Source organism: Homo sapiens, chromosome 2 (genome assembly GCF_000001405.40).
Source record: "Homo sapiens chromosome 2, GRCh38.p14 Primary Assembly".
In the NCBI taxonomy this organism is placed as follows: Eukaryota; Metazoa; Chordata; class Mammalia; order Primates; family Hominidae; genus Homo; species Homo sapiens.
This window is the reverse complement of record NC_000002.12, coordinates 151,550,234-151,562,328: the sequence shown is the minus strand read 5'-3', so window position 1 is coordinate 151,562,328 and position 12,095 is coordinate 151,550,234. Positions and strand designations below refer to the sequence as shown.

General features: G+C 40.4%; 1 protein-coding gene across 47 annotated transcripts in view, besides 1 other annotated feature; it reads left to right on the top strand.

Moving 5' to 3' along the window:
* Window positions 1-12,095, top strand: part of NEB (nebulin) — a 249,138-nt gene that overhangs the window by 172,148 nt on the left and 64,895 nt on the right. For all 47 annotated transcript variants that reach the window (XM_011511227.3, XM_011511226.3, XM_005246613.3 and 44 more), the window contains 9 exons: window positions 115-219; window positions 1,017-1,121; window positions 1,221-1,325; window positions 1,630-1,737; window positions 7,285-7,398; window positions 8,304-8,501; window positions 8,827-8,931; window positions 9,553-9,657; window positions 10,484-10,591. In XM_011511227.3, coding sequence (XP_011509529.1) covers window positions 115-219; window positions 1,017-1,121; window positions 1,221-1,325; window positions 1,630-1,737; window positions 7,285-7,398; window positions 8,304-8,501; window positions 8,827-8,931; window positions 9,553-9,657; window positions 10,484-10,591 — 1,053 coding nt within the window. The remainder of the gene's footprint in view (window positions 1-114; window positions 220-1,016; window positions 1,122-1,220; window positions 1,326-1,629; window positions 1,738-7,284; window positions 7,399-8,303; window positions 8,502-8,826; window positions 8,932-9,552; window positions 9,658-10,483; window positions 10,592-12,095) is intronic.
* Window positions 7,637-8,836: an enhancer, noted in NCBI's record as "BRD4-independent group 4 enhancer chr2:152410007-152411206 (GRCh37/hg19 assembly coordinates)". NCBI's record gives its function as "activates an origin of replication core promoter dependent on BRD2, P300/CBP, MED14 and CDK7 cofactors, and independent of BRD4, by STARR-seq in HCT116 cells {active_cell/tissue: HCT116}" and the evidence as "EXISTENCE:reporter gene assay evidence [ECO:0000049][PMID:35650434]".

Genomic DNA, 12,095 nt, shown 5'->3' with positions numbered 1-12,095 from the left:
CTACCCTATGTCTTCTAAGCAATAAGCACAGCCAACAGCTGATAGGAAATTATCAAATGCTCAATTGTAAATTCAGAATACCTTCCACATTTCATTGTTCTCTCTTTCTTGCAGAATGTGTATAAAGATGACCTGAATTGGTTGAAAGGCATTGGTTGCTACGTTTGGGATACACCCCAAATCCTCCATGCCAAGAAATCATACGACCTTCAGAGTCAGGTGAGCCACCTTCCTAGAAGGACTGGTTCTCCATGGGTCATCAGAATCCATGGTGGTGTCAGTGGGCTGATGGGCAGGCAAAGAAAGTTGCTGTAACAGTGTAGGCTCTAACTGACCAAAGCCCCTCCTCTCCCAATCAAAGCTCTTCTAGTGTCCTGCTCTGGGGCTGGATCTTCCCAGTCTGAGTCTCTCCTTTGGTTTAAGGCAATGCACATTTATAATAAAAGCTTATCTGGGAGGTGTTTCTTAGTGAACTACTCTCAAGCATCTGTACCTTAGTTGATCAAGTTAACTTGCAGAGAGTAGGAGGTAGAAGCATCCTTTGATTACAGGTAGATAAGTTTTGGAGGAAAAAGATCAGTATCTGGAAAACTTTTCAGCACGTGGTTCAGCTCTGATAGGGCAGTTGTAATGGAATGTTAAAAGTGAGGGGCATGTATACATATGTAACTAACCTGCACATTGTGCACATGTACCCTAAAACTTAAAGTATAATAATAAAAAAAAAAAAGTGTTCGAAACCAAAAAAAAAAAAAAGTGAGGGGCTGCTGTCAGGGATGGAGAATAGGCATGGAAAAGGCAACAAAATGGCCAAAATCTCAACCCCAGTCTCAGTCAAGAGAAGCTATTCATTCTGGCAGCCATACAAAGTCTGCAGGACTCTAGAATGACAGCCTGTTTGTTAGGATTAAAGCAGAAATCCAGAAATAAAGGCACATGTAAGTTGGCACAAGCAGCTACAGCTGATGACAGACCTGTATGTTACCATTTTTGATGACTTTTGTTTTTCTTCACAGCTACAATATACAGCAGCAGGTAAAGAAAATCTACAAAACTATAATCTGGTCACAGACACGCCCCTCTATGTGACTGCTGTTCAGAGTGGCATTAATGCCAGTGAGGTGCGTCTTCCTGTACTCCTCTTCCAGGGACAAACTATTTCTTGTCTTTATGTATTTTCTAACAACAGAGGTGAATAACCTATTGTTGCTTGTCTACAGGTAAAATATAAAGAAAATTATCATCAGATTAAGGACAAATACACAACAGTTCTAGAAACAGTGGATTATGACAGAACCAGAAACCTGAAGAATCTTTACAGCAGTGTGAGTTGAGTTTTTTTTCCCCCTTATATATGAGCCACCTTTCCCCCTTCTGGGACAGTAAGAGAATAAATGGGATGGACACTCTTTCCCTAAAGGCTTTTCTATGGTTTTTTCCTGGACCTTCAATCTTACTTTACCTCATAAAATTCTAGTAGGTACAATTAAATAAGCCCCACCTTAAAGAGGAGTCCTGGGAGTTAGTAGGGAGTGTGTGAGAAGGACAGACACAGAAGGAAAACCTGCTACTCAGAAGCTAACCAGATGCATTTTCCCATATTCACAAGAAGGTCTTTAATTCCTGCAGAACCTGTACAAGGAGGCCTGGGATAGAGTGAAAGCCACCAGCTACATCCTGCCTTCCAGCACCTTGTCCCTGACACACGCCAAGAACCAGAAGCATCTGGCCAGCCATGTAAGTAAAGCAAAAACATGACAGCTTTCCCACCCTCCCTCCCCTCCCCTGCTCTCCACTCCAAGAATCTTTCAGGCTGATTCATACGTTGTCCAGAAGTACCCCTAGCACTCCCGTGGGCATGTCCAGGAAATAATTCCAAATGCTCAGTCATTAGAGTCTATGTGCTCACTGCCTGTCTCTCTCTGCTGCCTGGAGAGAATCACAAGCACTTGCAAAGAGGACAGGATGTGACCTTTCAGACTGCCTGTCTGCACATGATAATCTCTGCTAGAGTCAGAAGTAAGGATGGGCTGAAGACATAATACACCTTACAGAAATAGACTTTTTCAATAGAATTACATGGATGTAGGGCAAAAATAAACCAGTGAATATGATAACCGGTTATTATACCATCCCCAGTTAATATAAATTATTTTATAGCAATGAAATAGAAAACATTTAAAAATTGTTTAATTCTCCTTTTTTAGGTAGAACTTTTCTTAGATATAAACATAATTGTAAAACAAACAAACCCTAAATCTCATGAGCTGTTTAAATATAGTAGAAGATCATACATCCTCTAACTCTTTATGCCTTTAAATCTTATGACCTCTAACCATTAATGTTCTTAAGTAAAACCTTTTTGCGTGTGTGTGTTTTGTTTTGGTTTATTATACTTTAAGTTCTGGGGTACACGTGCAGAACGTGGAGGTTTATTACATAGGTATACATATGCCATGGTGGTTTGCTGCACCCATCAACCCATCATCTACATTAGGTATTTCTCCTAATGCTATCCCTCCCCTAGCCCCCTACTCCCTGAGAGGACCCAGTGTGTGATGTTCCCCTCCCTGTGTCCATGTGTTCTCACTGTTCAACCCCCACTTACGAGTGAGAACATGCAGTGTTTGGTTTTCTGTTCTTGTGTTAGTTTGCTGAGAATGATGGTTTAAAACTTCATCCATGTCCCTGCAAAGGACATGAACTCATCTTTTTTATGGCTGCATAGTATTCCATGGTGTATATATGCCATATTTTCTTTATCCAGTCTATCATTGATGGGCATTTGGGTTGGTTCCAAGACTTTGCTATGGTGAAGAGTGCTGCAATAAACATACGTGTGCATGTGTCTTTATAGTAGAATGATTTATAATCCATTGGGTATATACCCAGTAATGGGATTGCTGGGTCAAATGGTATTTCTAGTTCTAGATCCTTGAGGAATCACCACACTGTCTTCCACAATGGTTGAACTAGTTTACACTCCCACCAACAGTGTAAAAGTCTTCCTATTTCTTTACATCCTCTCCAGCATCTGTTGTTTCCTGACTTTGTAATGATCACCATTCTAACTGGCGTGAGATGGTATCTCATTGTGGTTTTGATTTGCATTTCTCTAATGACCAGTGATGATGAGCATTTTTTCATATATTTGTTGGCCGCATAAATGTCTTCTTTTGAGAAGTGTCTGTTCATATCCTTCGCCTACTTTTTGATGGGGTTGTTTGTTTTTTTCTTGTAAATTTGTTTAAGTTCTTTGTAGATTCTGGATAGTAGCCCATTGTCAGATGGATAGATTGCAGAAATTTTTTCCCATTCTGTAGGTTGCCTTTTCACTCTGATAGTAGTTTCTTTTGCTGTGCAGAAGTTCTTTAGTTTAATTAGATTCCAATGGCCTTTGTTGCCATTGCTTTTGGTGTTTCAGTCATGAAGTGTTTGCCCATGCCTGTGTCCTGAAAGGTATTGCCTAGGTTTTCTTCTGGGGTTTTTATGGTTTTAGGTCTTATGTGTACATTTTTAGTCCATCTTGAGTTAATTTTTGTATGAGGTGTAAGGAAGGGATCCAGTTTCAGCTTTCTGCATATGGCTAGCCAGTTTTCCCAGCACCATTCATTAAATAGGGAGTCTTCTCCCCATCGCTTGTTTTTGTCAGATTTGTCAAAGATCAGATGATTGTAGATATGTGGCGTTGTTTCTGAGGCCTCTGTTCTGTTCCATTGGTCTATATATCTGTTTTGGTAAAAGTACCATGGTGTTTTTATTACTTTAGCCTTGTAGTATAGTTTGAAGTCAGATAGCGTAATGCCTCCAGCTTTAATTTTTTCCAATTCTGTGAAAAAAGTCAATGGTAGCTTGATGGGGATAGCATTGAATCTATAGATTACCTTGGGCAGTATGGCTATTTTCACGATATTGAGTCTTCCTATCCATGAGCATAGAATGTTTTTCCATTTGTTCGTGTCCTCTCTTAGTTCCTTGAGCAGTGGTTTGTAGTTCTCCTTGAAGAGGTCCTTCAGATCCCTTGTAAGTTGGATTCCTAGGTATTTTATTATCTTTGTAGCAGTTGTGAATGGGAGTTCACTCATGATTTGGCTCTCTGTTTTTTACTGGTATATAGGAATGCTTGTGATTTTTGCACATTGATTTTGTATTCTGAGACTTTGCTGAAGTTGCTTATCAGCTTAAGGAGATTTTGGGCTGAGACGGTTGGGTTTTCTAAATATATAATCAGGCCATCTGCAAACAGAGACAATTTGACTTCCTCTTTTCCTAATTGAATACCGTTTATTTCTTTCTCTTGCCTCATTGCCCTGGCCAGAACTTCCAATACTATGTTGAATAGGAGTGGTGAGAGAGGGCATCCCTGTCTTGTGCCAGTTTTCAAAGGGAATGCTTCCAGCTTTTGCCCATTCAGTATGATATTGGCTGTGGGTTTGTTATAAATAGCTCTTACTATTTTGAGATACATTCCATCAATACCTAGTTTATTGAGAGTTTTTAGCATGAAGAGCTGTTGAATTTTGTCAAATGCCTTTTCTGTATCTATTGAGATAATCATGTGGTTTTTGTCCTTGGTTCTGTTTATGTGATAGATTACATTTATTGATTTGCATATGTTGAACCAGGCTTGCATCCCAGTGATGAAGCTGACTTGATCAAGGTAGATAAGCTTTTTGATGTGCTGCTGGATTTGGTTTGCCAATATTTTATTGAGTATTTTCACATCGATGTTCATCAGGGATATTGGTCTAAAATTCTCTTTTTTGGTTGTGTCTCTGCCCGGCTTTGGTATCAGGATGATGCCGGCCTCATAAAATGAGTTAGGGAGGATTCTCTCTTTTTCTGTTGTTTGGAATAGTTTCAGAAGGAATGGTACCAGCTCCTCCTTGTACCTCTGGTAGAATCCAGGTGTGAATCCATCTGGTCCTGGACTTTTTTTGGCTGGGAGGCTATTAATTACTGCCTCAATTTCAGAACTTGTTATTGGCCTATTCAGGGATTCGACTTCTTCCTGGTTTAGTCTTGGGAGGGTGTATGTGTCCAGGAATTTATCCATTTCTTCTAGATTTTCTAGTTTATTTGCATAGAGGTGTTTATAGTATTCTCTGATGGTAGTTTGTATTTCTGTGGGAACGGTGGTGATATCCCCTTTATCATTTTTTATTGTGTCTATTTGATTCTTCTTTCTTTTCTTCTTTATTAGTCTTGCTAGCAGTCTATCTATTTTGTTGATCTTTTCAAAAAAACAGCTCCTGGATTCATTGATTTTTTTGAAGGGTTTTTTGTGTCTCAATCTCCTTCAGTTCTGCTCTGATCTTAATTATTTCTTGTCTTCTTCTAGCTTTTGAATTTGTTTGCTCTTGCTTCTCTAGTTCTTTTAATTGTGATGTTAGGGTGTCAGTTTTAGATCTTTCCTGCTTTCTCTTGTGGGCATCTAGTGCTATAAATTTCCCTCTACACACTGCTTTAAATGTGTCCCAGAGATTCTGAGTTCAAGTCCTGATATCCTTGTTAATTTTCTGTCTGGTTGATCTGTCTAGTGTCGACAGGAGGTGTTAAAGTCTCCCACTATTATTGTGTTGCATTCTAAGTCTCTCTGTAGGTCTCCAAGAACTTGTTTTATGAATATGCGTGCTCCTGTGTTGGGTGTGTATATATTTAGGATAGTTAGCTCTTCTTCTTTCATTGATCCCTTTCCCATTATGTAATGCCCTTCTTTGTCTCTTTTGATCTTTGTTGGTTTAAAGTCTGTGTAAAACCTTTTATTGTAAAATTCCCTGTAAGCTTTATTGTAATTCTTAGCCCAGTTCTCCTTCAGAAAAATTAGAGACTTTATCTCTTAATCAGGAACATTTTCTGTAACACTTTAAATCAGCATTTCTCAAACATGTTTTGACCATGACTCACAGTGGGAAATTTATTTTTTATTTCAAGTTCACATACACAGACACACACCCCTGAAGTTTACCTGAGTTTCTTCTGGCACAAATGTCTCACAGAAGAGTAGTGACTGCTAGACTAGAGACAGTGCACTCTGATAATTTCCATTCTGTTCTACTCATTTAAATGCTAGTGACTCAGTAAATTGATTTCACTACTCTACTGGGCTTACAGATGCACAGCTTAGAAATAAACTTCATTAGACAGTCTATGGAATTATTTAATTTTTACCTGGAGGAAACAGTAACATATTTGATTTTACCCAGACCCACCTCTATTTGGAAGATTACAAAAAGGAGCAAACTTTTCATTTTGGAAGAAAAGTACTATAGATAAGATTTTAAAAGCTCAAAAGAGGCTTTTTCCTTGAGTCATGAACAAAATTATAGAGGCAAGATTCTTGGCAAATTGGTTTTGGAGCAAGGTAAAACATAGAGAAATTAATCCTTTAAAAGAAGTATTCTGACCTTATTTTAGGAAAAAGTTTTGTGTGTGTGTATGTGTTTTTTTTTTTTTTAACGGTGCCTTTAAATGCCATCATCTTTGAAGCTGAGAAATAGATTAGATGTAAGAAGCTGATTTTCTGTTTTGGAAAAATCTAGTGGAAATTTTGGTTGGCCTCCAGTCAATGAAGAGCATTGCTGGAATTCTGACACAAATATATACTCCCATCTCTCTTTTGTTACAGAGGTGCAAATCGCTGAGTTTTGGAAGAACTGTTATTTTATTATTGTGTGCTATGAGATTGGATCTTAGTCTCTGTCTTAACCTGGTTTATATAATCATGGAACACTAATTAACGGGCAACATGGCTTAAGAACTAATTGTTATCCCACAGAAGTTGATTGCACTGTATTTTTGAAAGCCTTGTAGAAACTGAAATCCAAGGATTGTGTTTTCTTAGCAGCAGACTTTTCAGTTATTAAAAACAAAGATATTCCTAAGCACAGTTTTAATCTCGCACTCCTTTTAGTAAGAAAAACAAAGCCATTACCACAAGAGAATATTTTTAAATTACATAATCTTTAAAATGAATTGCTTGTAGTAGCAGTAAAAGTACTAGTATTGCTATAGGAATTTTGAAAACAGCAACTAAAATTTCATAGCGCTCTGTGGTTTAAAAGTACTTTTGATACAGTCTGATTTAAGCCACACGATAACCCCATGGCAGGCGCTACTGCTGTATCTCTCTGTACAGGTGGGGAAATGAGTTCAGAGAAGTGTTGTCCCCAACGCTGGGTGGATCTCAGAGTCGGGTTTTTCCCATTAAGTCTTATGCTGTTTTAATAATATAAATCCATTACTCTCTAAAACTGTTTCTTCCTTTCTACTTATTCTCTATAGATCAAATATCGGGAAGAATATGAAAAGTTCAAAGCTCTTTATACGTTACCAAGAAGTGTTGACGATGATCCGAACACAGCACGGTGCCTCCGAGTTGGCAAGCTTAACATCGATGTAAGTACGGTCATGCGCCCCTTAATGACTAGGATACATTCTGAGAAATGTGCCGCTCGTTATGTGATTTCATTGTTGTGCTAACATCATAGAGTGCACTTCCACATACCTAGATGGGATAGCCTATTGCTCCTAGACTACAAACCTGTACAGCATGTTACTGTACTGAATACTGTAGGCAACAGTAACACAGTGGCAAGTATTTGTGTATCTAAACATAGAAAAGGTACAGTAAAAACTCAGCATTATAATCTTTTGACTGAAACATTGTTATGCAACACATGAGGGTAACTCCAAAGACCTTACTTCAAATTTAAGTCAAGTAAAATAGCCATGTATTATTAATAGGAACATTTCTTTTCTTTTCTTTTTAAGACAGGTCTCACTCTGTTGCCCTGGCTGGAGGGCAGTGGTGCAATCACAGCTCACTGCAAGCCTCTACCTCTTGGGCTCCGGGAATCATCCCACCTCAGCCTGCTGAGTAACTGGGCCTACAGGCATGCACCACCACACCCAGCTAAGGTTTTTTTTTGTAGCGATTGGAATCTCGTTATGTTGCCCACTCTGGTCTCAAACTCCTGGGCTCAAGCAATTCTCCTGCCTCAGTCTCCCATAGTGCTGGGATTACAGGTGTGAGTTATCATGCCCAGCCTGAACATTTTCTATTTACCAATGCATATGACACTGACTGTGCACATGTAAAGAAGCTACATATTATTTCAGCTATAATGCTTTATTTTTTAAAAATTTCCCTTGGTGTTAATCTATAGAAAATGTCAGAAAATACCAGTCACTGCCCTGCCCCCAACTGTTCGCTGTGAGTTGGTTAGCCTGACTTCTCATGTATGGCCATGATGCCTTGGCACAATTTCCTGTATAACTGGCATGTGATTTTAACTTTACAGCGCCTGTACAGATCAGTTTATGAAAAGAACAAGATGAAAATCCACATCGTGCCCGACATGGTAGAGATGGTTACTGCCAAGGATTCCCAGAAGAAAGTCAGTGAGATTGATTACCGCCTGCGCCTCCACGAATGGATTTGCCACCCCGACTTGCAAGTCAATGATCACGTCAGGAAAGTCACAGATCAGATCAGCGATGTAAGCCTGTGACTTAAGAAGTACCCCTCCACGGCCCCGCCCCACGGCCCCACCCAGAAGGCAGCAAACTCACCCATTTCTTTACCTTAGCCTTTTTCCACTATCTCTTCCCTATATGTCCATTTGTCCAACTTGACTTCAGAGCTGTCTCTGGAAGCAGGGCTCTGTGTACACATGTTTCTGTGGCTCCCCTGAGCCTCTTTGCATAATGCCTTTGCTCCTCATTCCACAAAGCCTTCTGAGTCTAGAATGTACCTCTGTTTTTAGTGTTAAAGTTATTATGGTCAATTTTTTTTTTCTGATCCTTTCTATCAAAACCCTCTAGATTGTATACAAGGATGACCTCAACTGGCTGAAAGGCATTGGTTGCTACGTCTGGGACACTCCTGAAATCCTCCATGCCAAGCATGCTTATGATCTACGTGATGATGTGAGTTTGCCTTGTTTTGTTCTTTAGTATATTTCCATTTCTCCATAGTCTAGAGTTAAGAGGAGGTTATGTAAAATAGGGACATTGTCACAGGCCAGCTCTGGGGGGTGGCTGAGCTGGAGAAAGTTGCTAGGAGCAGAGCAACCATCTCTCAGGAAGGCGTATGGCATTCTTATTAAACTGCAGTCCAGGTGTGCCATCGTCCTCTGGTGGAGAAGGGACCAGCATCTTCTCTTTCTATGTTTTAGGCTATTTTGGATATATTAACAAGCACTTAATTGTCATTTTAGGAAAGTGTGATTTGTTAGTGTTTGCAATGCTATAGACAAGCTCTATTTGTAAAGAGAGGATTTTCCACGCAAATTAAATACTGTAATGAGGATTTCAGTAAGAAAGCTTAAACTTTCCTAGAAGAGTAGTTATCAAGTGTCCTAGAAGACTCTAGAAGCCCCATATAAGTGTTGGTTACACTGTTATAAAATTCAAATGCATCTCGGTCTGTTGAGTAGTGCTGATGAATATAAATCTCATGAGTTAAAAGCAACCAAACCCTCTGTGAAAACCAGCAGTTTCAAGCATAAGGAATGGTCCAACATGGGCTTGTTTTCTTCCTCTCGGCAGATCAAGTATAAAGCTCACATGTTGAAAACAAGGAATGACTACAAGCTTGTCACAGATACACCAGTCTACGTGCAGGCTGTCAAAAGTGGGAAACAGCTAAGTGACGTAAGTGATCACTGGGGAAGTTAAGTGGACAGTAATAAAGCAGGGCCACCACTCAAGCAGAGGTGGCAAAAACCATAGACTGGGCAGTGCCAAGTCTTTTCTAACTGGGAAACCAGAGTTGGTGCGTTTGAAAGCACTGAAGATGCTGCTGGCTATTGTTTCCTGAAACCTGATGCATTCAAGCAGTTTGCTGGGGCGGAGTTGTAGGTGATGCGAGTCTATGAAGTAACTTTGTGCCTTAGCACTTCCAACGTGTTTTTTGTGCCCTGTGTCATAGCAAGTTTATTTCTATCTAGGCCATTTAATAAATTAGAACCAGCTATGGTAGAATAAGAAGCAAGCAGGCTCTGGAGTTAGAGTTGTGGAGTGCAGTCTCACCTCTACCACACATTATCTATAAGGCTTATGAAAAGCACTTAATCCATCTGAGCCTCCCATTCTGATGCATAAAATGGGGACGTAAGGAAGCACCCACTATGACGCCTGACACAAAGCAGGCAGGGCAGGCACAAAGCTGCTCTTTCTTTATTAACTCCACAGGTTGGTAAGTCAATATCAGATCCCGCCAGTGAGTGCAAACATTGAGACCTATTATTTTGGAACTTCTAGTGGTAAAATGCCCACCCTTCCTCTTCTTGTGCCTGGGCCATCTCTTCTGTTTCTCAGTGTGAGTGTCCACACGCTGGCTCTGATCCTGTTGGACAAGCCACAGTAATGTGTCAGATGAGTTCTCCAGGCAAAGGGAAGCAGGCTACCGTTATTTTTTTTAAAGAGGAACCTGGGTTCCCATTCTCTTTGCTTCTAACAATGCTTCTTTCTGCACCAGGCTGTCTACCACTATGACTATGTGCACAGTGTCAGAGGCAAAGTGGCTCCAACTACCAAAACCGTGGATCTGGACCGGGCCCTTCATGCATACAAGCTCCAGAGTTCGGTGAGCAGTGAGAACTTGAGAGTGCCCAGCAGAAATCCGTTCCATCAGCCTCTGTGGAAGCAAGCTGAGCTTGCTTCCTCTTGACCTGACCTTGTATAAATGCTGTTCTATTCACATGAGGTGAAAAAACAAAAACACAGAGCATAATCTATCTTTCCTCCTAGCTGCCAGGATCCCCCTATGGAGCAATCAAACCAACATAATGGGCATGTTTTAGCAATATTTACAAGTTACAAAGAAGAAAGCCAATATACATTCTCTGCTTTCAAAAAGCTGAAAATCAAGATAACAGAGACAAGGCCTTTAACCTCAATAAAAGATGAACTAGAAATTGTTGCTGGAATTCAGAAGAGAAAGAACCTGGATCCCACCTGCATATTTAACCTACCTATTCTATGTTACCCAATGGTGCTGATTTGGTCTCAACTTTTCATGTTATTTCCCATCTTGTGTATTAAAAATAATTTTTGGCCAGGTGCGGTGGTTCATGCCTGTAATCCCAGCAATTTGGGAGGCTGAGGCGGGCAGATCACCTGAGGTCAGGAGTTCGAGACCAGCCTGGCCAACATGGTGAAACCCCATCTCTACTAAAAATACAAAAAATTAGCCAGATATGGCAGTGCATGCCTGTAATCCCAGCTACTTGGGAGGCTGAGGCAGGAGAATCTTTTGAACCCAGGGGGCGGAGGTTGCAGTGAGCTGAGATTGCACCACTGCACTCCAGCTTGGGCAACAGGAGCAAAACTCCGTTTCAAATAATAATAATAATAATAATAATAATAATAATAATTTTGGCCAGGCACAGTGGCTCATGCCTGTAATCCCAGCACTTTAGGAGGTCATGGCAGGCAGATGGCTTGAGCCTGGAGTTCAAGACCAGCCTGAGCAACATGGTGAAACCCTGTCTGAACAAAAATACAAAAATAAATAAATTAGCCAGGCATAGTGGCATGCACCTGTGGTCCCAGCTACTTGGGAGGTTGAGGTGAAAAGATTACCTCAGCCCAGGGAGGTCAAGGATGCAGTGAACTGTGATGGTGCCACTGCACTACAGTCTGGGTGACACAGTGAGACCCTGTCTCAAAAATAAAATAAAAATAATTTGGTTTTTCATATTTTAAATGTAATTCTTAATCCTAAACTCCAAGAGACAGAGTATTTAAGATCACAGACAGACACTCCTCCATGTCCTCCCTTTCTGCCATGAACACATGCATCCTGACCTCTTCACGGCCTGATGTCAACACACTGTGTTTGGAAGGGGCAGGAGAGGGTAATACAAACATGTGCCTGGCTATATCTTCGTGATGGCTTGCATATCATCACCTGAGGATGGAGTAATGGCAGAGGTGAAACTTGGTTACCTATCTTCTCTGCATTTCCCAAATTCTTGCTAGATGCCATACAGCCAACTGGGCATATGTTTGGAAGCACAGAGGAATTAGTGTTTTTTTTTTTTTTTTTTTTTTTTGGAGACAGGGTCTCCTCTGTCTCCCAGGCTGGA